General features: G+C 51.2%; 1 protein-coding gene and 1 long non-coding RNA gene across 8 annotated transcripts in view, besides 3 other annotated features; both read right to left on the bottom strand.

Moving 5' to 3' along the window:
• The window catches only part of TSPAN9 (tetraspanin 9), a 209,181-nt gene that overhangs the window by 125,412 nt on the left and 59,329 nt on the right, over positions 1–24,440 (bottom strand). The gene's annotated exons all lie outside the window — the stretch shown is intronic.
• Positions 9,280–10,093: an enhancer, noted in NCBI's record as "H3K27ac-H3K4me1 hESC enhancer chr12:3260221-3261034 (GRCh37/hg19 assembly coordinates)". NCBI's record gives its function as "activates a minimal SCP1, AML or CMV promoter by ChIP-STARR-seq in naive H9 embryonic stem cells {active_cell/tissue: H9 hESC(naive)}" and the evidence as "EXISTENCE:reporter gene assay evidence [ECO:0000049][PMID:30033119]".
• Positions 9,672–11,351, bottom strand: TSPAN9-IT1 (TSPAN9 intronic transcript 1). The gene is made up of 2 exons (NR_046833.1): positions 11,282–11,351; positions 9,672–10,163 (listed from the first exon to the last, which is right to left on the bottom strand). It is a non-coding gene; the product is annotated as a TSPAN9 intronic transcript 1 (long non-coding RNA).
• Positions 11,957–12,502: an enhancer, noted in NCBI's record as "H3K4me1 hESC enhancer chr12:3257812-3258357 (GRCh37/hg19 assembly coordinates)". NCBI's record gives its function as "activates a minimal SCP1, AML or CMV promoter by ChIP-STARR-seq in primed H9 embryonic stem cells {active_cell/tissue: H9 hESC(primed)}" and the evidence as "EXISTENCE:reporter gene assay evidence [ECO:0000049][PMID:30033119]".
• Positions 23,578–24,428: an enhancer, noted in NCBI's record as "H3K4me1 hESC enhancer chr12:3245886-3246736 (GRCh37/hg19 assembly coordinates)". NCBI's record gives its function as "activates a minimal SCP1, AML or CMV promoter by ChIP-STARR-seq in naive H9 embryonic stem cells {active_cell/tissue: H9 hESC(naive)}" and the evidence as "EXISTENCE:reporter gene assay evidence [ECO:0000049][PMID:30033119]".

Genomic DNA, 24,440 nt, shown 5'->3' with positions numbered 1-24,440 from the left:
CCAGGTTCAAGCGATTCTCCTGCCTCAGCCTTCATGAGTAGCTGGGATTACAGGTATGCACCACCATGCCAGGCTAATTTTGTATTTTTAGTAGAGACAGGGTTTCTCCATGTTGGTCAGGCTGATCTAGAACTGCCAAACTCAGATGATCCACCTGCCTCGGCCTCCCAAAGTGCTGGGATTATAGGCGTGAGCCACCGCAGCCCAGCCACAAAATTAAAAACTCTTATGTTGCAAATAACACCATCAAAAAAAGTGAAACCTACAGAATATGAGAAAATATTTGCAAATCATATATTGATTAAGGGGCTTATAACCAGAATATGTAAAGAATTCTTACAACTGAATAATAAAAAGACAAATACCCAATTTTAAAATAAACAAAGTATATGAATAGAAGATACACAAGTGGCAAATAAGTATAAGAACAGATGCTCAACATCATTCATCACTAGGGAAATGCAAATGAAAACCACAATGAGATACCATTTCACACTCACTAGGATGGCTCCAAAAAGACAGAAATTAACAAGTGTGGACAAGGATGTGGAGAAATTGGAAAAGAGTCTAATTCCCAATTGGAATACATTACTGGTGGGAATGTAAAATGGTATAGCCACTTTGGAAACCAGTTCGGTGGTTCCTCAAAAAGTTAAACATAGAGTTACTATATGATCCAACAATTTCACTCCTAGATACCTGAAATAAATAACATGTCCACACAAAAATCTATATACAAATGTTCATTGCAGCATTATTCAAAATAGCCAAAAAACTGAAACAACCCAAATATCCATCAAGTGATGAATGGATAAACAAAACGTAGCATACCCATGGAATGAAATATTATTGCGTAATCAAAAGGAATGAAGTACTGGCATATGCTACAACATGGATGAACCCTGAAAACCTTATGCTAAGTATGCTAAGAAGCCAATCACAAAAAAATCAAAACCCGTATTACATGATTCCATTTAAAATAAGCATCCACAATATAAGCAACACCACAGACAGAACACAGATTAGTGGTTGCCCAGGGCTGGGGGAGGAATGAGGGTTGGGAGGATATAGAGAATGGCTTCCAGTGGGTATGGGGTTTCTTTCTGAGGTGATAACATGTTCAAAATATAAATTGTGGCAGTGGTTATACAACTTGAACAGATTAAACCATTGAGTTGTATATTAAATATACAAATAGGTGTATCAGTTTGCTAGGACTGCCATAACCAAAGTACCACAGGCTGGGTGGCTTAAACAACAGAAGTTTATTTTCTCATGATTCTGGAGGCTGAGTCCAAGATCAAGGTGTCAGCTGGATTGGTTTCTTCCATTTTCTCTGTTCTTGGCTTGTAGATAGCCGTCTTCTCCCTACGTCTTCACGTTGTCTTCCCTCTGTGTTTGTTTCTATCTTAATATCCTCTCTCTATATATACAGTTTCTTAATTGAGATGAGGGGTCTTGCCATGATGCCCATGCTGGTCTTAAACTCCTGGACTCAAGTGGTCTTCCTGCCTCGGCATCCCAAAGTGCTGGGATTCTAGGTGTGAGCCATGGTGCCAGGCCCCTAATATCCTCTTATAACGGCACCAGTCATGGTGGATTAGGGCCTGCCCTGGTGACCTCATTTAACCTCAGTCACCTCTTTAAAGATCTTCTCTCCCTCCAAATACAGTCACATTCTGAGGTATGGGGTTAGGATTTGCAGGGGCAAAATTGAGCCTGTAACAATGGGAGAGTGTGATGGTGTACAAATTATATCTCAGGAAAACTGTTCTTTAAAACCCCATCCACAAATCCTAGAAATTAGCCAGCCCACCCCTTGTATTACAGATGGGGAACTGAGACGGACCCAGACAAGGTCAGCTGCTTGCCCCAAATCACAGCTGGTGAGAGGCAGAGCTGGGAGGAGAAGCCACGGCTCCTGCTCTCAATCTAGTGTGCTTTCTACTTCACCCTCCTGTTGCCGTAGCCTCCGAGGCTCAGAAACAACAGACAATAATGGGAAAAGTAAGAGAACTTTAAACTTAGAAAGAAAAATGCCTAAGAACTTAGATCATGTACAATAAAAGTGTAAATAGGCTCCCTGGCAGGGGGTGGGGAGCGCAGACAATCAAGCTCTGAGGAGGCCCTGGAAGAGACCTGCACAGTCACAGCAGAGGGCCCTAAGCAAAGCCAACATTAATTTCATATCTGTGACGTGCCGGGCAAAGGAGGAGTACGTTCCCAAGCAAGACGCACTTTACAAAGGAGCTGGCACTCCAGCTAATCCGCGAAGACTGTGCCTAATTCCACTGGGGTGAGGGCTGTCCAAGCAAAAGAGGCTAAGTGATCAAAAGCACAAAGGCAGGTGGCTTCCAGACCTGTCAGGAAGTAGCAAGTTGGCCGACACAGTGGAAGCCTATGCTTTTTTTTTTTTTTTTTTTTTTGAGACAGAGTCTTGCTCTGTCACCTGGGCTGGAGTGCAATGGTACGATCTCGGCTCACTGCAACCTCTGCCTCCCAGGTTCAAGCAATTCTCCTGCTTCAGCCTCCCAAGTAGCTGGGACTACAGGCGTGCGCCACCATGCCCAGCTACTTTTTGTATTTTTAGTAGAGATGGGATTTCACCATGCTGGCCAGGCTGGTCTCGAACTCCTGACCTCGTGATCCACCTGCCTCAGCTTCCCAAAGTGCTGGGATTATAGGCGTGAGCCACGGAAGCCTATGCTTTATGCAAGGAACAGTGGAGGACGGCAGCACAAAGACAAGCTGAGGTCAAGTTCTGCAGAGCCTTGCACACTATACATGGAAGCACAGATCTGAGATAGGAAAAGGGAGTGTGACATGACCTGTGGGGTGCTGGGGAAAGGTAGCTCCATCCACAGGCAGCAGACAGACTGAACAGCCACTTCCACAGATCTTGTAGGAGGCATCCATGGGGCAGGGGAGAGTGCTGACAAAGCAAGCCCCAGGGGATGCTCCTCCGGGACACAGGGAAGCAGGAAGCCCTGTGCTCCGAGGGGAGCCCTCAGATTTATCTCAATTAGACTTGGTCGAGGAAAGCAAGAAGAGGAAACCCCGCAGGCACTGAAAAGCCGCCAACTCCTGGAGCCCGTGTTGTGATCTGGTGCTGACAGTCCTTCATCTTTTCCATTTCTTTTTTTTTAGTAGATAAAGGGAGGGGTGGAAAAGGGGAGAAAGACACAATGGAGTTGCTCAGTGAACAAAAGCCCGGGTGCGTTTTCGCTCATCGTCTTAATCAGGGGGTGCTGTTTTTGTCAGCACCCTATAATCATGTCTGAGGCCAGGCACAGCCCACAACTTACAATTCAGGCATAAATGCGTCCTGGACAGCGGTGGTGCCTGCCTGCCAGCGTCTGCCCAGCGCCCACCTGATCAGGGAAGGGGAAAGAAGTGTCCCGGGAATGGAAGAACACGGCCTACAAGGTCTGGGACCGTGGTTCCAGTCCTGGCTGTTTCCCTTGTGACCTCCAGCAGGACAGATGACCTCTGTAGGTCTGTTTCTTAGTTTACACTGACAGCAGTAGCAGCTGCTATTCACTATTCAATGTCTACTATATGCCAAAGACTATTTTAGGTTTTCATCCCTTACAAAATACCCAGTGAGGCAAGCATTGGTCTCCCCATTTTACAGATGGAGAAACTGAGATTCAGAGGCTAATGAGGTTCGTCAAGGTCAGAGGGCTAAGCTTGAACCCACATGTGTCTAGCTTCAAAAACCCACATTCTTAAAATACACCACATTCAGGCTGGGTGCAGTGGCTCACGCCTGTAATCCTAGCACTTTGGGAGGCCGAGGTGGGGGGATCATGCGGTCAGGAGATTGAGACCACCCTGGCTAACACGGTGAAACCCCGTCTCTACTAAAAATACAAAACAAATTAGCCGGGCATGGTGGCGGGCACCCGTAGTCCCAGCTACTCGGGAGGCTGAGGAAGGAGAATGGCGTGAACCCAGGAGGCGGAGCTTGCAGTGAGCTGAGATCGCGCCACGGCACTCCAGCCTGGGTGACAGAGCGAGACTCCGTCTCAAAAAAAAAAAAAAACACCACATTCAGCCTGAATTAAGTGGAAATAATAAAACCTGCTCTGCCCTCTCTGGCCTGTTTCTATGAGGCTCAGCGGGGGAGAATTTGTACTCAATACTGCAAAGGTACTGTCCTTATCAATACTATAGTTACTCAAGGTCAAAATGCAGTGGCCCTCAAGTTCATCAGACCTCACCTCAACCTTAGCTCTCAGCCCTTGCCCCCTGCCCTGGGCCCTTCTCCTGCTCCACAGCCTTCCCAGCTAGCCAGCTAACCCTCCCATTCATCTCCAGATTCCATTCAACTCTAAGCAGGCCGGGAGTGGTGGCTCAGGCCTATAATCCCAGCACTTTGGGAGGCTGAGGAGGGCAGATCACTTGAGGTCAGCAGCTCGTGACCAGCCTAGCCAACATGGTGAAACCCCATCTCTACTAAAAATACAAAAATTAGCCAGTTGTGGTGGCGCATGCCTGTAATCCCAGCCGCTCGGGAGGCTGAGGCAGGAGGATCTGGGAGGTTTGAATCTGGGAGGGGGAGGTTGCAGTGAGCCGAGATCATGCCACTGCACTCCAGCCTGGGTGACAGAGTGAGACTCCATCTAAAAAAAAAACAAAAACAAAAAAACAACTCTAAGAAGCAAAGTCCAAGTCTTGCCTAGATCCCAAACTCCAACACCTCCCCTATCAAGAAGACAGGAGATGCCTCTATCAGCACCCTATCTCCTGGCCCCCCGACTCCCCACCTGCTGCCCCTCCCTCTCCCAGTCCTGGAGGGGGCTACATGGAGGGAGGACACAGATAAAAGCAAAAGGCCCAGCACTGGAAGGCAGCTTGCTTTATTATTCACAACGAGATCCGTCCTGGCCCTGCACAACCTTCCGGGTCTTCAGTACCATTTTCCCTTCCTCTCAGGGAATCATCAAATGCCAAAGGTGCACCCAGACCCCAGACACACTTCTCAATGCCGCTGACACAGGCTGGGGAGGAGGCTGGCCTGTTATTAACAGAGGAAAACTGGAGCTGACATTGTCACTGATCTGAAACCTCCCAGCTAAGAAAAGCTTTGTTTTTTAAAGAACTAATAAATAACACTGGGTGTTTACTTCCCTAGCAAGTCGTATCTCTTAAGTATCACTAGGCTCATACGTCATGGCTGTCATCCGGGAAAACCATGGAGCAACGTCTTCAAGTCCTTTCGGCGTCCTGAAGAGTTCAAAGCACTTCAGACAGACTCCCCTTTATCTCCCCCTAGAGATCTCGGAGGGGAGGAAGAGGGGGCCCTGGCAACTCCGCCTCCAGTGTGCCTACAATAAATACTTGCTAACTGCCCAAGGGGGACAATTTTCCTCACTGCGTGATGGGAAAACGGAGAAAAGGAAATTTACTCGGCACCCACCTAATCCAGTCTTCCCAGTTCCAACTCCATGCTTCAAGCCGTCTCTCACTCAAGGCCTAACTCCTCCCAAAGGGACTAGAAAAGGAAGACGTGGTCTTGCTCTCGCTCCCTCTTTATTTTTTTTTTTTTAAAGAGACAGGGTCTTGCTCTGTCATCAGGGCCACAGTGGCATAATCATGGTTCACTGCAGCCTCAAATTCTTGGGTTCAAGGGATCCTCCCGCCTCGGCCTCTCAAAATGCTGGCATTACAGGTGCGCACCACCACACCAGGCCTGGAAGATATGGTCTCTTCTAACAGCTATTCAGGAGAGGCCTCCTCGTGCTGATTTCCTAAAAGCTCAGAACACGATCAACAGTCTCTGCCCAGCATTCCCGGAACAGCCCGCCTTCGGTTTCACTTGCGTAGCCAACTGTGTTATGCTCTGTGTGTGAGCTGCCTCTCCCACACCCCATGATTTTTATTAATTTCATCACTTTATGCTCTTTATATTCCCCAAAGTGCCCAGCATAACACCCTACCTTTAATACATAAAGCAGGGGTCACAAGCTGGTACCCCCAGACCAAATCCAGCCCACGCACAGGTTTTATTTGGTCCGCATCACGTTTTAATTTTTTTTTAATTAGCTGCCAATAGTTAAAAATTAGGAGATTTTACCCAAAAATCAGAAGTTCAAATTTTCCTTGAAAAATGGAAGATCTAGGGAACCAAGAGAACCATGTAGAATGCTTAACTGTTACAGACCACTGCCCTTTGAGAAATTCCAGTTGTCTCTGTCCTAGCTAGATCATGTCTGTAGGGGGCTGGAGAAGTCGCTAGAAAAGGGGCTCACTGTGATCACGTTCAACCACTGGCACCCTAATGCCATGTAGTGATGACTGGGCATGCAGGCAGTCATGGAATCATGGCAGGTCCATGTGAGAGGCAGCTCAGCTGCTCAGGCCTGGAGTGCAGATGCTCACAGGACCGAAGTCAGGCTAAGTATTTACTTAAAACAAAAGAATCATGTCTCCCATTTGTACTTAAGCACTAGCTCCTCTTTTGCACGGCTGAACATGTGCATCATGTTCTATGCTGGTCAACCTGCTGCAAAACAATGAAAGCAGGACGCTGAGGAAAAGGGAGGGAAGGAAGAGAGGGAGGAAGGGAGGAACACGCTGATGGGCCCACAACCCTGGGCTGTTATCGCTCATCTGAGTTTGCAGGCTTGCATAAAGTTGATTGAATATAATTGAATGGGTGAGCCCACGGTCATTTCAGACTGCAAGTTCCCTAAGGGTGCGAGCGAGACCTATTTCTCTTGCTTTGAATGGGGTCAGATGGGGAGTGCACTTAGGAATTATTGAATGAGTGAAGCAACATACGCAAAATCTATGTACCAGGCCAGCGGGCTTCGAAGCTGGAGATAGGATAAAAATGCAGAGTGAACAGCCTTTAAAGCAGGACCTCTGCTACCTGACTGCCTTCCCAAGGGCAGTGTGTGAAAACAGACTTGGGCCAAGATCTCAGCTAAACCCTGTGGCTGCTCTCAGGCACCTGACTTCCGGCTGGTATTTAATAACCCAGAATGAGATACCTCATTGCTCTAGGAAAGAATGCTTGGCTTCTTGAATTGTCCTAAGGAAATAACGCAAAAGGGGGAGCAGACAGCTAGACAGAGAAACAGATAGAGATACATCCACAGACACACACACACACACACACACACACACACATATATATATAATACTAATATATTAATGTATTAGTGCAGTTTCTACTATTTAGGTAAGTTAAAATTGTGAGCTGCACATTCAACAGTAGGAAAGGGGAACAGACAGCTAGACAGAGAAACAGACAGAGATACATCCACAGACACACACGCACACACACACACACATATATATATAATACTAACATATTAATGTAGTAATGCAGTTTCTACTATTTAGGTAAGTTAAAATTGTGAGCTGCACATTCAACAGTAGGAAAGCGAAACAGACAGCTAGACAGAGAAACAGACAGAGATACATCCACAGACACACACGCACACACATATATATAATATTAACATATTAATGTATTAGTGCAGTTTCTACTATTTAGGTAAGTTAAAATTGTGAGCTAAACATTCAACAGTAGGAAAACGGATAAATAGGAAACATTTCCTATGTAACCACTTGAAAGTGTGATGATGATGATCATAATTGTGATGATTATGTAGCTTATAGTAAAATGTTAAAGAAAGCAAATAGAATGCAAAATTCTTAAAATGTTAAAGAAAGCAAATAGAACACAAAATTCTATCTACATTATTGACTATAACCATGTAAAAAAAAATTATGTTTGCAAGCAAATACAGACTGAAGGCATCATGGAAAATAAAAAACTGATTTGTCATGATGGCAGGTTTGTCAGGTATTTTATACCCCTATTTCTTTGATTTGTGTTCCTATTATACGGCATTACTTATATGATAAGTATTTTTTTAAAATGCCCAATAGCTCCTGACCCTGAAATAAACTAGCACATGATGATAAGGGCTAGGCAGGAAATGTCTGCTTTGTTCAGGCCCTTCCGGGACTGCCACAGGGGTAAGGCACAAGGAAAAGGTGTCACAAATCAGTCTGAAGAGGGCTTCAAGGAAGGCCTGCCCTGCACCACCACCACCACCACCACACCCCACACACGCGCAGGCGTGCACGCACCATAAAAGGAAGCTCAGCGTTCGCACTGAGCACAGATGCCGTCCTGGGGCCCCCACCCGTCAGGTGTGTGTGCGCCTCTGCTGCTCTGTCATTTCTGCTGTGGTTTCAGAGTCCCTGTCTTCTGATGCAGCATAAGAAAAGAAGGGGGCTCAGCTGGGCGTGGTGGCTCACACCTGTAATCTCAGCACTTTGGGAGGCCAAGGCGGGTGGATCACCTGAGGTCAGGAGTTCAAGACCAGCCTGGCCAACATGGTGAAACCCCATCTCTATTTAAAAATGTAAAAATTAGCCGGGCATAGTGGTAGGCATTTGTAGTCCCAGCTACTTGAGAGGCGGGGGCAGGGAGAATTGCTTGAACCTGGGAGGCGGAGGTTGCAGTGAGCCAAGATCGCGCCACTGCACACCAGCCTGGGCAACAGAGCGAGACTCCGTCTCAAAAAAGAAAGAAAAGAAAAGAACGGGGCTCTGACGACAGCCTCTAGGCTAGAAACAGCCAGTCCAGCATTCTCCCCCAAGACTGTCCTTCCCTCATTCTTTTCAATACATGTTTCACTGTGTCCATCGCTGGGGACACTCAGGAACTAGATCTCAGGGGAAGGCTGCTTGCCAAGTGGGGGCAGGTGTGTCAGAAGGACAGAAGGACTGCCACAGGACCTTCCAAAAAGAGGGGCCGGTGGGATGCCAAATCCCAGCCCACCCTGGCATCAGGCCAAACCCTGTGGCAGGTGAGGGAGGAGCTGGGTGCCAGGATCCTGCTGACAATCAGGAGGGCTGACCCCGCAGCAGCCTCCCTGGTGGCCAGGCAAGGAGGGCTGGGAAGTGGCAGCTGCTTCCCTATGAGCTATGACAGAGGGGGGTGCCTTGGAAAACAGGAAGCCCTCCTTGCCTTACCTCCTTCCAAGCTGGTCAGACTCCCCAGGGAGAGATTCCCCGCCATGAATTCCCCAAGGGAATGAGAGCTGGAGAGGAAAAATTCCTCAGAGTTGTCTGCGCCAAGCAGCAAATCACAGCCCCCTCCAGCAGGCATCCCATTTGCAGGAAATTTACTTACGCCTGATTGTTGGGCTTTTACTTTTCAATTCCAAAGATCGGCTGTGTGTTTTTTTTGTTTTTTTTGAGGTGGAGTCTCACTCTGTCGCCCAGGCTGGAGTGTAATAGCACGATCTCGGCTCACTGCAACCTCCGCCTCACGGGTTCAAGCGACTCTCCTGCCTCAGCCTCCCGAGTAGCTGGGAGTACAGGCGCACACCACGGTTGTTTTGTTTTGTTTTTAAGAAAGGAAAAAAGGCTGGAGGGAGCAAGGAAGGGAGAGAGTAAGAGACATTTCACGTTGGAGGCTGCCCTATTCTGTTTCATATCTGGGTTTAAGGAAGAAGACCCTGGAAATGGGCGCCATGTCCCACCAAGCATGGGCGGGAAGAGGCAGCCAAGTCTTGCAGGCCATTAATCACTGAGGGGGCATGCGCAGCCCCAGTGCCCACCCAGCTGGTGGCATCTGCCTTGAGGGGAGGTGGGAGGGCAAGGCTGGAGGGGGCCGACAGGGGCCAAATGTGAAGGCTGGTGGCAGGCAGCCGGCCCCTCCTGTAAGCAATCCCCACCACAGGGTTATATCCAGGCACTTTTTCCTGTGAGAAAAGAATGGGAGGAATGCAGCCCTGCCATTACCCAAATCCACCCCACCACGGGCTTCGTGCCCAATTACATACAGTGCAGGGGAGCCCTCCCGAGCCTGGAATCAGAAAATCCGCCTAAGAAATGCAAACTGGCAGCCAGAAACTAGCAACATAGGTAATGCAATATGAGAGCCTCCCTTAAAGCCAAATACACATGCATGCATGCACCCACTCACACACATGCACACACGTGTGCAAACACAAACACACACATGCTCTGCAGGCGTGTGTGACTGACAGTGCACTACAAACCACATGGAAAGGTGGCCAGAAACACCGCTGGATTTTTATAGCTCTTCAGGGACCTGATCTCCAGGAAGTGCTAGAAATTGCAATCCAATTGTGTCCCTGGCTAGCGAAGCTGGCTGGAGGCTGGGGACGCTGCAGAGGGAGGAAGAACTTCATTGGGAAAAAATGTTGACAGAGTTTAACGTTGAGCGGAAGGACAAAGGCTTGGATGAAGGGGCCTTATGAGAAATGAGGCGTTCTGAGTGCTCTAGCAATTTGCATGGGGCTGTCAGGGAGTATTGAGTTAAAAGGCACAGGACAGGGGAGGGCTCCCCAAGGCCAGGCCAGGCGTGGGGTGAAGAAGGGGCAGCATTCGATCTCCTGCAGGGCCTGGAACTCAGCACCCTGAAATCAGCTCGTAAGTGGGAATTAGCTAAGGCAACCCCCAGCTAGAAGGAGGGCTCAGAGAGTCTGAGGCCCCAAAAAGCATACTCTCCTCACTTAAGACACCAAATACAACGGCAGAGAAGAAAAGCTGGCATTCATTGAGCACCTAGCATGGGCCAACCATACCATATCTCTAATTCTAAGAACCAGCAGCAACGTGCGTATATATCAGCCTCAGCATGTAGACAAGAAACCAAAGATTCACACCGGGCCACAGACTGAAACCAAGACTGACACCATGTCTGCCTGCCACCTGCAGAGCCCATATATACTACAATCCATTTAGGGGTTTTATGACACAGATTTTTCAAAGGAAACCCTCCCCATTCCTGCCCCCCATCAACAAAATACTAACTCACTGTGCGGCCTTAGTCAAGCCCCCTAATCTCTCTGGGCATCAGCATCAAGTCAGCTATGTGCCCTATTCTGTTCAAATACACATAAAAAGGGTATTAAGCCTATAACTGGCAGAGGGGCGGAAACAGACCGAGGGAGGCCGAGACATATTCTCTGAAGTCCAGCCAAATGTAACGGGCCCAGCGGGCATCTCCCACACCTCACCTTTCATGCTACATTGTCACTGCTGGTGCTGTCTGTCTCCCAAACTGGACTGTGCCCTCCCTGAGGGAAGAACACTCCACCTAATCCTGCCCACACCCCTCTGCCCAGAGCTGTGTCTGGCACGCCATGGGCGTTCACTACATGTCTGCTGGCTGGATGAATACATCAATTAACAAATGCTCCCAAAGTCAGGCATACTTCAGAGAAAAGCACTTACGAATATCTGTTCAGCAAGGGATTTCTCCTCAAAGGGGCAAACCTACCTTTGCATCAAAATCATGTGGGAAGCTTTTCGAAATACAGCTTTCTGCCCCCGTTCCCAGAGCTTCAGACTCAGAAGATCTGGGATGGGGGCCCAGGAGCCTGAATTATTGAAAAGCTCCCCAGATGTCTCTAACTCCAAGCCAGGTCTTGAATCACTGGTGGCTATTACTTGGCTAACACCCATCCTGTCCTGTGTTGAGATCAGATAAAGCTCAGAATAAAAACAAAATAAGTGCCTCTCCCCTAGGGCCTTTTTTCCAAAGGGCTCAAATCAACTCTTTACACCATGATGCTGTTGTCTGTTGGACTGAGACAGGTGGCAATGCTTCTCCATTCTTCAGGCTGGCAAACTGAGGTCTGGCCAAGAAAGAGGACCACTTCTCTCTTTGCATCTCTCTTTAGCTTCTGAAGAATGCAAGGTTGTTAGAGACTTCAAGGACTCTGCTGAATTTCAGGTAAAAAAGAGAGAAGAAGGCAAGGCATGTATCTGGCTGCAGAAAATGGTAATGCCAGGATGGGCATCTCCCTCCTTCCTGCCACACTTGGAGGACAAAATACACCCATCCTTACAGCTCACACTCCCCAAGTCCAGCCCCTACACACAGGGCCTGACCATCATCAAACCAGTAAGCCGGAAGAAACAAAGACCCCATCTCCCTACCCTGGAGGCAGGTGAGGAGCCCTTCATTTATTCATTCACAAAAACTACAGCAAAGCTAAGAAGTGCCAAAAGAACTTGTTAGATGTAGATGAAGGAAGAATTCGACCATTTCTATTCTTTTCAATAAAACACTGGCCCTCCCAGAGAGACAAATGGCGGGGGGCTGAAAGCTGAGCTACCCACACCCCACAATTTACCCAGGATCCAGGAGGCAGCCACCACCCTCCCCTCTTCCCTCAGCAACTGGAGACCTCCTTAGAGGCAGGAGCCAAAGTTACCTCGGCCAGGCACGCCCGAGAGGCCCCCTCTTCTCCTCATCCCCTCCTCCCACCCAGCCTTGGACGTGACTGATGGAGCTGGGACAGCTGCAGCCGTGGGGAGGCTGGGAGGTGGACAACAGCTGGATGGGGCAGTCCCTCCCCCGCCTGGGCAGCTTCCCAGCCGAGCTGGAGAGGATGCAGAGACTCAGGTCTCCTCTGAGTGCTGCTCTGTAAGGAGTGGAATATGAGCATTCGGCTCCACTCTGACCTTGCTCCCTTGTCCCTCCTGGTCCCTTTCAGGCAGTCGTCTCTGGATTCCACAAAGAGCAGGGCCACTTGGCAGTGTGGTCATGTGCACGCTCTAGGCCCTGGAGCAGACAGCCCCACACAACCACGGCCACGCTCCCTGCCCACGTTCCATACCCTGCCAGCCACAGCCCCACCGCTGGCCACCTCACAGGCCGCAGGTGCTGAAGGAGGAACCCCAGCATCCTGAACCCAGCCCGAGCTGCTGGAAAGGATGCCATGAGCTGGCAGTGTGGGTGTTGGCCTGAGAGTCTGAGAAATTCAGCTTGTGACTCTGGACTGACTTGGGACCAAAACTTGGTTCCACTAAAATGCCCAATGGCTTTGATTTCCAGTTTCTCTGCAATTATCTGCTGCAAAATGAGGCAGATAATTTACTTTACAGGGTAGTTCTCAGATTCTGGTCCAATGTATGATGGGCCTCAGTTTCCTTATCTGTAAAATGAGCAGGCTACACACTAGTGCCTCAGGTCTCCTCCAGCCCCTATAGAATCCATACAGTGCTTTAGCCAATGGCCCTGGGATGTATGCCCTTCCTCCCTTTCTTTCAAAGGAATCACTGCTCAAAATTCCTTCCCTAGTTTTGCGCTTTGTCTCCAGGATGAATGAAGTGCTTGAGACTTCTCTCCTCCTTCTCCCCTATCCAGACCCTCCACTCAATCTCCAAATGTACCCAGATTAGACTTGCAGGAGCCCATCCTTTATCTGCCAAGCTGTGCCCCCCGACCCACCCGACTCCACATATGTGTACACCACTCACACAGCTTAGTAATCTCTTACTAAGAACAAGGCACTCACAACGCACCTCTCACCAAAGGGCACCCACCAGTGTGAGCCAACACTGCAGGTGAAAACTACTGGTCTAGAACAGTACCGTCCGACGTGGCAGCCACTAGCAACATGTGGCCACCTACATTTCCATTTTAAGTTAAAACTGAATAAAATTTAAAATCCAGCTCCTTGGGGCATTTTCAGTCCCATTTTCAATGCTCAACGGCCACATGTAGCCGGTGGCTACTGTACTGGGCGGTACAGAACAGAACACTTCCATCGTTGCAGCACTGGGCTGGCTGGTTCTCTCTCTTCGGGGGCAGAACAGGCCCTAGGTGGCTCAAACTGAATCTGGAAGTGGGCAGGGAAGGTGGGGGCGATCCTGAAGGAGGGAGAGGCCACTTCCCGTCGCGTCGGTGGAGATGCCACCAGGACTCAGGCTGCAGCATGCCCACCACCAACCTTGCTCCTCGGCGAGGGTCTCCCGGGCCCCAACACTCAGCAGGATGCAGCAGGCAGCTGTCACACCACACTGCATTTTTGGGATACATGGGACGCCTGTCATTCTCTCCAGCCCCTGGCGGGCTCCTCATCCCAGGGCAGGGACCGTGGTCCCTGCCTCCTGCTGCCCAGCAGCTCCTCCATACCTCACCTGGGTTCCAGGCTGGAGCGTGACCTGCAGAGGGCCAGGGCTCCCCTGCTTCCAGTCTCCACCCTAAACTCAAAAATATCTCACTACATACCCTGCAGAAAGGAAGTAAGGAGAAAAGGGGAGAGAATGCTAGTTTTAATCAAACACCTTAAAATCAAGGTACCAACAATGAACTTTCACTTACATCTACCCATTTGATGTCCAAAATACTACTGAAAGGTGAGTGTGGTTAAACCCATTTTCCGATGAGGAAACTGAGGCTCAGAGAAGATAAGGGACTTGTGCAAGCTTGTAAGTGTCACAATCTGAATGCAAACCCAAAAAAGCATGGCCCCAAAGCTTACAATCTACCCACACCCCTTTCAGGAGGCCACGGGATCCACCACCATTCTCCTCCCAGAGAATGTCCAGACGCACAAGCAGAAAGGTCAAGATCTATAGCTTTTTGCATTGCTGGCCTAGAGAGCACAGAATCCCAGGAAGATCTCAGCACTGGGTGGGTGGAGAAAGGCCATAGACACAAAGCAGGTGGAGAAAGATAAGGAGGCAGGAAAGAGGAGGAGAGTGGAGGCAGCAGAAAAGTAAGATCAAGGAGGAAGAGCAGAGCGCACAGAGGCATTTAAACTTATTCCAAGTGTAATTAACTATTTGTGAACTGTTTGTCTAATGCCTGTCTTCATCAATCGGATCTTGGATTCCATGAAAGCAAGGACCTTGTCTGTCTCGTGCACAGCTGTGTTCCCTGCACAGGAGGTGCTCCACAGATACTGGTAGGAGAGACGGAGGGTAGACAGACAGGTGGGCAGAATGAAAACCAAACTGTCAGGGGACTATGGAGGAAGAAAAGCCCTCTTTTCAGAGACCACCATCTCCACACAGTCTCCCCACCCTAAGCTCCCCGAGGGCCTTGAGACACCCAGGGGAAGCTGTCCTCCTCCAACGGGCTCCATCCCCTGACCTCGCATCCCAGCGCCCTCCTGCCCCTTTGCCATTGACCACAAACCTAGTCACCACTCCCCTGATGGCCACGGGTCATAAATCTAGGCTGTCAGGGCCAGAGAGACCTCAAAGATCGCCTGGCCCAATCTTCTCATTTTACAGATGACAAGACTGAGGTCCAGGAGGGGAGTGGGCTTGCCGGGGGAGCTCACAGCCTCAAAGTGGGAAAGCGTCCTCGTGCCTGTGCCTGCGGGAGCCTCGTGGTGGAAGGCCACCGCCAGGCCCCGCGTGCCCCGTGGCTCGCTCGCAAGGCCAAGCCAGTGCCTGCAGCCCATCTGTCTCTTCTGCCTGCCAAGAGGCCTTCCCTCCCCTGTGCCCATGCTAATGAAACCCACCACAGGTGATTTCGGAACACTGCACCAGGAGGAGGTTTTGCTGGCCACCACGCCAGGCCTTTCATTTCCGATTTCCCAGCCTGACACCCCAAATGGTCTGAGCCCTCTCTGCTCTGAACCCCATGTGTTCATGCATCACCTTGGCGGATGCCAGCCACGCCTTCCCCCAGCCATCTGGACAGAAAAATGAGGAATGAGCAGGACAGGATGATCCTGGCAGAGAGGACTGCTGGGAAGCTCTGGACACCTGGTCCCTGTTCTTCTGCCCTCACTGTGTATGTGCTATTAGAATTCAGGGTGACGAGTGAGTTTCTCTTCACCTGGGACTCAGTTTCCCCATATGCACTTGAGTCTTCTGCCCCAAACTCAGCAAGATGTACTGAGGTGGGTGCTCCTCTGCCCACGGGTATCAAAAAGGAGGAAATCCACAGCAAACCCTAGCTGAACACCTCCTAGGGACGGGAGGACCCTGGCCCTGGAGGAGCTCTTCATCAAGCTGGCACGTCAAAACAAGTTCACACAAAAAGGTCATTTCCCAAACAAGAGCACTGCCAAGGAAGAACAAGAGCACCATGGACTGGCAGTCAGGGAGGACACAACGGGAGAGAGCCTTGAGCTGGCACTGAGAGCTGTGCACGTGCTCAAGAGTCTAGAGGTGAATGCAAGGGCAGTCGCGGTCCTGACCGGAGGGCCTCACGGTCCAAGCAGTTGACAAACGCGTCATCCACCAGAGGACGCCGAGGGCTGCTGCACGCACTGTGTGCTCACAAGGGAGTGGGGGGAAGAAAAAGGAGCCCTAGGAATGACCTTGATGTGTGAAATCAAGGAGGGACATTTCCTAGGAGGTGCCCTTGAGCTCTCTGCACAAGGAAACAAAGCAATGCAACTGATTTGAAGTCCAATTAAATGCTAAGAAACACAATTTGATGATCAGATTATCCTCGTAACATAAAGGTCTGGGGGAATAGGGAAAAGGGACAAATATCATCAGCAGCTATGGTTTAAATGCAAGCTTTTTGGGTTCTAATTTTGCCCAAACACAAGCCTCACTGAAGGGGCACCTGGCCATGGCTGACATGCTAGCACTAGCCTCTGTGTTCACTTCTCAGGGCGCAGCCCAGGGCTACCCAGATGTGAGAGAGGATGATCTCAGGCAGGAGCCTGACAGAAGCTGCCCGCACCTGCAACCCCCACTAGAAACCACTCCATGTGATTCCCGGAGCCACTGCAGCAAAGTACCCCGAGCTGGGAGGCTTCAACAGTAGGGATTTACGGTCTCGCGGTTCTGGGGGCTGGAAGTGCAGAATGGAGGCATTGGCAGAGGCTCCCTCTGCAGCCTCTAGGGGAAGATCCTTCCTGGCCTCTTTCTAGCTTCTGGTCATTGCTGGGAATCCTTGGCAGGAACATTGCTCCAACCTGTGCCTCCGTCTCTGTCATCACATGGTGCTTCCTGTGTCCCTCTTATAGGGATACCACTCACTGGCCAGGCACAGTGGCTCACACCTGTAACCCCAGCACTTTGGGAGGCCAAGGTAGACAGATCACTTGAGGTCAAGAGTTCAAGACCAGCCTGGCCAACATGGTGAAACCCTGTCACTACTAAAAATACAAAAATTAGCCGGGCGTGGTGGCAGGTGCCTGTAATCCCAGCTACTAGGGTGGCTGAGGCAGAAGAATCACCTGAACCTAGCAGGTGGAGGTTGCACTGAGCCAAGATCGCACCACTGCACTCCAGCCTGGGTGACAGCAAGACTGTCTCAAAAGAGTAAAATAAATAAAAAATAAATAAATAAATAAATATATCAGCACACACTCGTGATTTTGTAAATATAAACACAAATAAACAGAACAACAGAGATACAGATATGTGTCCATGCCTGGGTTGACATATATCTATTTCTTAGTTCTATTCTCTGAGAGGACCTAGAAGCAATGACACCCCAGTAGCAATGAACGCACCTAGCACCTAGATCTTGGTTTCTAAACACCATGCTCCAGCAAAAAGAAGCAGAGCTCCTTAGAGAAGTGATTGATTCAGGCCTGGGGCAGGAGAAACATAACACGACCCGGAGCATCTTGTGCCAGAAAGTAAGGAAGAGCTCCAGAAAAGACAGGAATACACCAAAGGGCACAGAAGCCCATCTGAAAGTGCTCCCTAGAGCTTCCCATGGCCAAGGCTGCAGCAAGTTGAACAACAAAATAAATATCTATTGTGCTGTTCCTGTAACTCTAACCTATAGGATAAAATATATATCCTGATATTTATTATATATCCTATATCCATACATTTATACTTTTTATCTGTGAAGTAAATAAATATCCATGAGTCTGTAATGATAAAAATAACTAATTGAATAAATAAGTGGGACAGAAGAAATAGCTCTTCCTTCTTGGAGAATTCCAATTAATAAATGCAGAAGAAATGAGGGAAACAGAAAATTACCATTAGGCAAACACCACAATTATAAGAGCTGCAAGCAAAAACCCCTGATGGATGCTAAAATTAGTGAGCAAAGGTTTGAGAAAAAACCAGGACAGTTTCAAAGTGCCTGCCCTCAAGACATTAATGGTGTATTAATTATAATTAATATAATTATAAATATTATTAATTATGATTAATATAACTATAAATATTATTAATTATAAAGAAAAAGGGGCCACTTTATATACGGGAGATACCTGGCAGACATCACCTTCTCCAAGTGAGCAGGGCATCATCACCAGTAATAAGACACACAGACATCACATTCCCCTTGATGCCACACACCTAGAAGGACACGTCACCATGCCACAGTGGTCTCTCCAAAGACAAAGAACCTCAGTCTAACCATGAGAAAATGCCAGACAGAGCCAGAGTGAAAAACCGTCCTGCAGAGTGACCGAGCAGCACTCCTCACCACTGTCAAGGTCATGAAAGATCTGGAGAAACTAAGGAACTGTCGCAGGACGGAGGAGCCTAAGGAGACAGGACAACTCAACGCAATGGAGGCTCCTGGTACAGAAAAAGGGCGCTCGTGGGAACAGTGAAATCTAAATAAAATCTATTGTTAATAACGCTATTCCAATGTTAACTTCTTGGTTTTGACAGTTGTCCTATGATTATGTAGGATGTTAACAACAACCCAAAAAAGCAAAAGCAAGAGCACATATGCACAGGTGCAGCACGCACACAGGGAGATACGCACCGCAGGCACCCGGGGGCAGGGATGCGGGGCACCAGGAGTAAGAGCATGGCGCAGGGGGCAGGGGCGAGCAGGGAGGGAACGTGGCCTTTTGCTGTCTCAGGCGGCTTGCTGAGCCTCGGATCGGATTTTCACAAAAGGATTACTAGATTAGATTTTTTACCACAGGCAGCTGTCCCTGTCAAATAAATAATCATCGCCTTACATTTATATATCACCTTTCATCCCACAGCCCTTGTCCCACATCTAGGGCCAGCCTGGGAATGGTTTCAGCCCTTCTCAGGGAAGGGAGGAGGCGAGAGGCGAGGAGGGGGCCCACACAGAGGGGCCAACGTGAGCCCCATTCAGTTTCCAAGGAAAGGAGGAGGGGTCCCCAGACAGAGAAAAAGGGGAAACTCAGTTGCCAAGTGGGAAGCCCAGTGGTGTGGCTGGGTGGGGACACTCCATGGTAAAATAAAGGCTGCAGTGAGGGAGGACAGCAGGCAGCGGGCTCCCTGGAGGGCATCTGGGCCCAGCAGCGTCACCCCAGCAGCAGTCAGGCAGAGCGGTGACAATCTCAGTCTGTGTGACACTGGGCAGCTTCCTTAACCTCTCTGTGCCTTGGTCTCCTCCTCCATAGAAGGCACCTGTCACACAGGATTCCTGTGAGCACCTGGCCATGGTAAGACACTTAGCGCAATGCCTGACACCAAGCCTTGCTATGCACCTGCTGGCCACATGGGAAAGCGCCAGACAGAGGAAGTCGGCTTCCGGGCACAGGAGAAACTTATAGGGACAACTTGGGATGGGGTCCTTGCATCCAAGTCTGAGGTGGCTGCCACTGGGAGGAGGTGACTTGTTCTGATGTGGGGCTATTCCTGCAAAGGGGAAAAGCAAGAGCAGCCCACAGAACAGGTCTGGGCCAGGCTTGGTGGGTGGGGACTAAGCATGGGTGGCCCCAACTCAGAGAAAAGCCTTTAGACCAGCGGCCTTGCATTTCCCCAGCAGCTAAGATACAACACAGAGGCCGCGCAGCCCAGCCTCTGGGGTGCCACCATCTAGGACTTGGAGAGACACGTGCACACCGAGGAGTCAGGGCAAAACACAAGCGCAGCTGCAGCCGAGACACAGCCAAGGGCAAATGAGGGCACGGAATGAGGGACAGGCCACTGGGTGACGGGGTCACGCACGGCCTCCTCAAAGACACAGGACTCCTGCTGGCCCTAGAAAGATGTGTGGGCCTCAGAGGAGCAGGGCCCGGGGCAGGAGGAAGGTGAGCTGGCAGAGACCAGGGCATCACCGTGCGCTGCAGAGGCCGGCCGGATAGCCATCACCACCAGGCTGGGAGACCGAGGCGAACAGGCTGGAAAAGCCACTGGGTGTCACCCTGAGTTAAGATCCCTGTGTGCTCTCACAGCATGCCACAGCTGCCTTTGTGTGGAGAGAGTTGGGGAAGCTGAGGGAGGAAGAAGGTTCTGGCACCAAGGAGCAGGTCTGAAGGGGACAGGTTAAGATTCCTTTAGACTTCCTCCTGACACGGGGTATTTGAGAGCCGACAGAGACTGTGGAAGCTGAGCTAACCCTGGGAAAGGCAAAACTCAAACCTCTCCTTTGGCGAGGACCTCAAAGCCCCGTGGTCCTCGTCAACTGAATCTCACGGCTCCCCTCTGGCCCCATGCATGGAACCCAAAAATTCCCCCTCCCTCCCCTACTATGAACCCCAACACTTCCCACAGCCCTTCCCCACCCAGCCTTCCCTTCAGCCTTCTCCAATAACCCAAAACACCCTTGGTCCTTAATCTAGACACATCCAAACGCCCTTCCACCTGGCAAGTAAAACCCCAAATCTCTCCTCAGCCTCCCACTGTCACCTCCAAACCTCCCCTGGTCCACACTCCTGAACCCACTCTTCCCCTGGGCTTTCCCAGGAACCTCACAGCATTCTGTGCCCTCCCTGAGCCTTCCCTGTGGGCCCCCACACCCCAAACATCCCTGAGTCCTCCTACCTCAAACTCCAAACTACCCTTTGACTTCCCACACCAAACTACAAATCTTCCTCATTCCAATTCCCCCAAGAAATCCTGAACTTTCCTTGGGCATTCATCATCGAACCCCAAACGCCTCCTCACCACCCCATACCAAATCTAAAAATCCCTTCAGCTGCTCCTAAGAAACCCTCTGAACTTCCCTGCAGGGACTCCTCTGCAGGCCTGGGATGCAGAGGGCAGCACTTCTCAGCTGATCCGTGGCCAGTGCCAGGCTTTCTATTTCCCGTCCATCCCGGGCCAGTGCATGATCCTACTGTGACCTGTTTCGCACCACACATGACTCTCCTCCAGATTTCAACAACACCCAAACTGGCCCGTATCTTGTTCGATGAGAGAAGTCCTTCAGTGTCGACTAAAAATCCCTACAAGTTTCCTTGGTACCAACCACCAAATTCCGAGACTCCCCTGGAGCTACCCCTGGGAAACACTAAACAACATAAAATGTCAGGGCCAGGTCAACCGCTACAGCATTACTAAATGCACGCTTTCCACTCCAGGACTTAATTCCTTACAGATAGCCCAGGTCCACGGGCCACACTCTGGGTAGTAATCTGATGATTACTTGCACCCGACTGTCCTGGTGGCTGCCCTGAGATACCCTTCCTAGGCCTAAGCAAGCAGGCTTCCCCAGGTGTGTGGATGAGCTAAGGCGATAGTGCAAAGCAAATTCTGCAGCGGGGAGAGTGGATCTGCCCAGGGACCAGCTGGAGCTGATGGTTGCCATGCTCCTGGGGAGGCCACGTGGGTGCAACGGCCTGAGCCCCTGACGGTCAGCTGCAGGGGCTAGAGAGTCACCTGCTGTGAAGGAACATAAAAGCTATCTGAGGCCAGGCACGGTGGCTCCTGCCTGTAATCCTAACACTAGGGGAGGCCGAGGGAGGTGGATCACCTGAGCTCAGGAGTTTGAGACCAGCCTGGGCAGCATGGTGAAACCCTATCTCTACCAAAAATACAAAAAAATGAGCTGGGCATAGTGGCTCACACCTGTGGTCCCAGCTACTCGGGAGGCTGAGGTGGGAGAACGACTTGAGCCTGGGAGTCACACCACTGCACCCCAGCCTGGGTGACAGAGCAAGACCCTGTCTCAAAAAAAAGAAAAAAAGGAAAAGTTATCTGAGGGGATGCAGGGAGTTGAGGGGACCCTTGAGGCTGAGCATTAGGCCAAGGGCCAGGTCAAGAAGGAGCAGAGGGCAGCGCAGCCTGAAGCGAATCCCACCATCCCCAGGCTGGCCGACTGCAAGCCCCTCCACTGCACGGCAGGGGACACTTGGGGAAGGCTGGCCACTGGCAGGGTGAGGGGAGGAGGGGGAGGGGGAGGTGTGAACAGAAAAGGGGGAAATCTAATTAGAACTGGTTCCTACTCAGCCACCTGCTGAAAACCACAGCTCACCAACACTTGGACGGAAGGATCGAGAACAACCCTGCCAAGGATTTCTCTCCATGGTCTCAGACAGAGGAAGAGAGGAAACAAGTTGAGCCTTCCCTGGACACCGCCCCCCACCAAAAGCAAAACAGCCATGAAGCTGAAACCTGAGAGGATGCCAAGGGGCAGCGGGAGGCAATTTACAGCCCAGAAAACTGAGCACTTGGGCCAGATGTGGGTTCTGGGGAGGGGCTGGGGCACAGCGTGTAGGGAGGGTGGGGGAGCAGGCCCAGAGAAACCCTCCTCAGGGCGTCCACAGCCTGTAGCCCTGGGCTCTGAGCTGGGAAGCAGGGTACAGCTTTCCGCCTGCCTGGAGAAGAACAGAGCACGGGCTGAGGGGCGGAGAACAGGGTCCAGGACCCACCCTGCCCACAGGGCTTGGAACCTTCGGCCAGCAGTCAGATAAGTGCAGGGAAAGAAAGCCAAGCAAAGGGAAGGAGGTAGATGGGGCAAAACAAAGAAGAAACAGGGTAGCCCGGATGCGATGGCTCACTTTGGGAGGCTAAGGTGGGCGAATCACTTGAGCCCACGACTTTGGGACAAGCCTGGCCAACATGACGAAACCCCATCTCTACAAAAATACAAAAAAAGGAAAAAAAAGTCCTTTTTTTTTTTTTGTATGGCGGATATGGTGGCACGTGCCTATAGTCCCAGACACCAAATACTTGGGAGTCTGAGGAGGGAGGATCACTTGAGCCCAGGAGGTGAAGGCTGCACATGACTACCCCACTGCACTCCTGCCTGGGTGACAGCACGAGGCCCTGTCTCAAAAAAAAGAAAAAAAGAAACGGGAGGAGAGAGCCCAGCGAGGAGACAGGACTGGGCAGAGCTGGGCACTGGGGCCTCTTCCCATCCCACCAATTCACCCTGGACTAGCCCCCTCCTCTAACCGACTCCGGGAGGTGGTGAATGACCCGCAGTGAGGAGACTGAGCTCGCTCTCCTTCTCAGCTGGGCCCTGCACTTCCCAGCCAGCCCCAGGGCTCTCGTCTCCCTGGCACTAAGGAGATGCCTCATTCCTAACAGGTGTGCCAGCTACACCCGCCCCAGGCAGAGGGGCCAGCCCAGGGGTGGAAAAATCACACTACCAAACCCACGGGCAGAGCCCTCCATTCCAGAACGGGCACCGCTGGGCACTGCCCCCTCACCACCCATGGACGACAAATGCAGTCCTAGGCTCCTGAAGGGAGTGCTGAGGCCCAGAGAAGGCAAGGATGGTCCTGGGGTCACACAGCCAGTGAGGGGGACAGCGGGACCCAGACACCCGACTCCTCACACGACCTTCCTCGGAGGCTCAAAGCCAGCAGCAGCCCCTGTTTAAGGAAACAAAGCTGCCCCTCTCTTGAGCTTCAAGGGGCCTGGGATAGGACGAGGGAAGGAAGTCAAGCCCCTGAAGAGCTGCATGCAGAAATCCGTGTGACAAGAGGTGGAATTATTTCCCCTAGAAAAAAAGAAAAAGCCCTCCCTTGGCAGAGCCCAGGGGTACTGGGCTGTAGGCTGATGTAACAGAGAGAGGAGAGGCCAAGAGGAAAGGAATCCCCCTTCCCTCTCAGCAAACCTACTGCCAGGAGCACAACAGGGAGGACGCAGCTGGAGCAGGGGGTGGGGGAGATGAGCCAAGCAGGATGTTGGAGCCTGGGATAGAGCCCTCCTCCATCTGGCTGGAAAGCAGAAGCCTTTGAACTGCAACCCAGGGGGTAGCACTCCCTTGGGGCCCAAATCTGGGCCTGGCATGGATGTGGGGTGCCCAGAGCAGAGTATGTATCTACAAGGGCTGTGTCAGCTGGAAAAACCCGCAGGATGTGAAGCCACATGGGAGGCAGGCAGCAGGAGGCGGGGCTCTGGGAAGGGCGAGGAGTCAGGACAGTGGCCTGGGCTCCAGGGGCAGGCACTTATGTGTTCCAGTGAGAGAGTGGTGAGGCCTGGGGCAGCCAGGAGAGCGTGGCCCGGGGAAACGTGGGCAGGGCCCAGCTGCGGGAGCTCCAGGGAAGCTGACATGCCCAAGTGGGCCCTGTGTCCACACCCCAGAGAGGGTGGGATGGGGGCGGAAGCCCAAGGCCTCAAGAACACCCATCCCAGAGAGGAGACGACAAGGAGCCCAGGAGCCATCCACTGCTGCCCCTTAGTTTGGAAGGTCCTGCCCCTGAGAAGGTCCAATTGGAAAGAGGGTCCCGGCCGCAGTCCCCTGCCTCAGTTGATCCCAGAGTAGCAGTGGTAGCTCCACAGGCCAACTGGGATTCAGATCCCACCACAAGCACACAATGCCCTTCCACACCCGAAGCCTTCACAGCAGGACTGGACGGGGCAGGGGTTCTGGCAGCTGGGACCACCTGGCGGCTCCACAGTGCACAGTGGGGGCTGTTTCTCCAGCCCTGCCTTAGAGGGGTCCCCAGCCAATGTGCCCCCCACCCCTGCCTCCAGCTGAGGGGTACACTATGGCGGGAGCGGATGGCTGCGGTCACCACCTCCTCATTCTCGCACACTCTCTCCCTCCAGCTCCTGTTTACTTACTGGCTGGGCAGGAGCTTCAGCTTCCCACGGGC

Source organism: Homo sapiens, chromosome 12, assembly GCF_000001405.40.
Source record: "Homo sapiens chromosome 12, GRCh38.p14 Primary Assembly".
Classification (NCBI taxonomy): Eukaryota; Metazoa; Chordata; class Mammalia; order Primates; family Hominidae; genus Homo; species Homo sapiens.
This window is presented reverse-complemented; position numbering and strand designations above follow the sequence as displayed.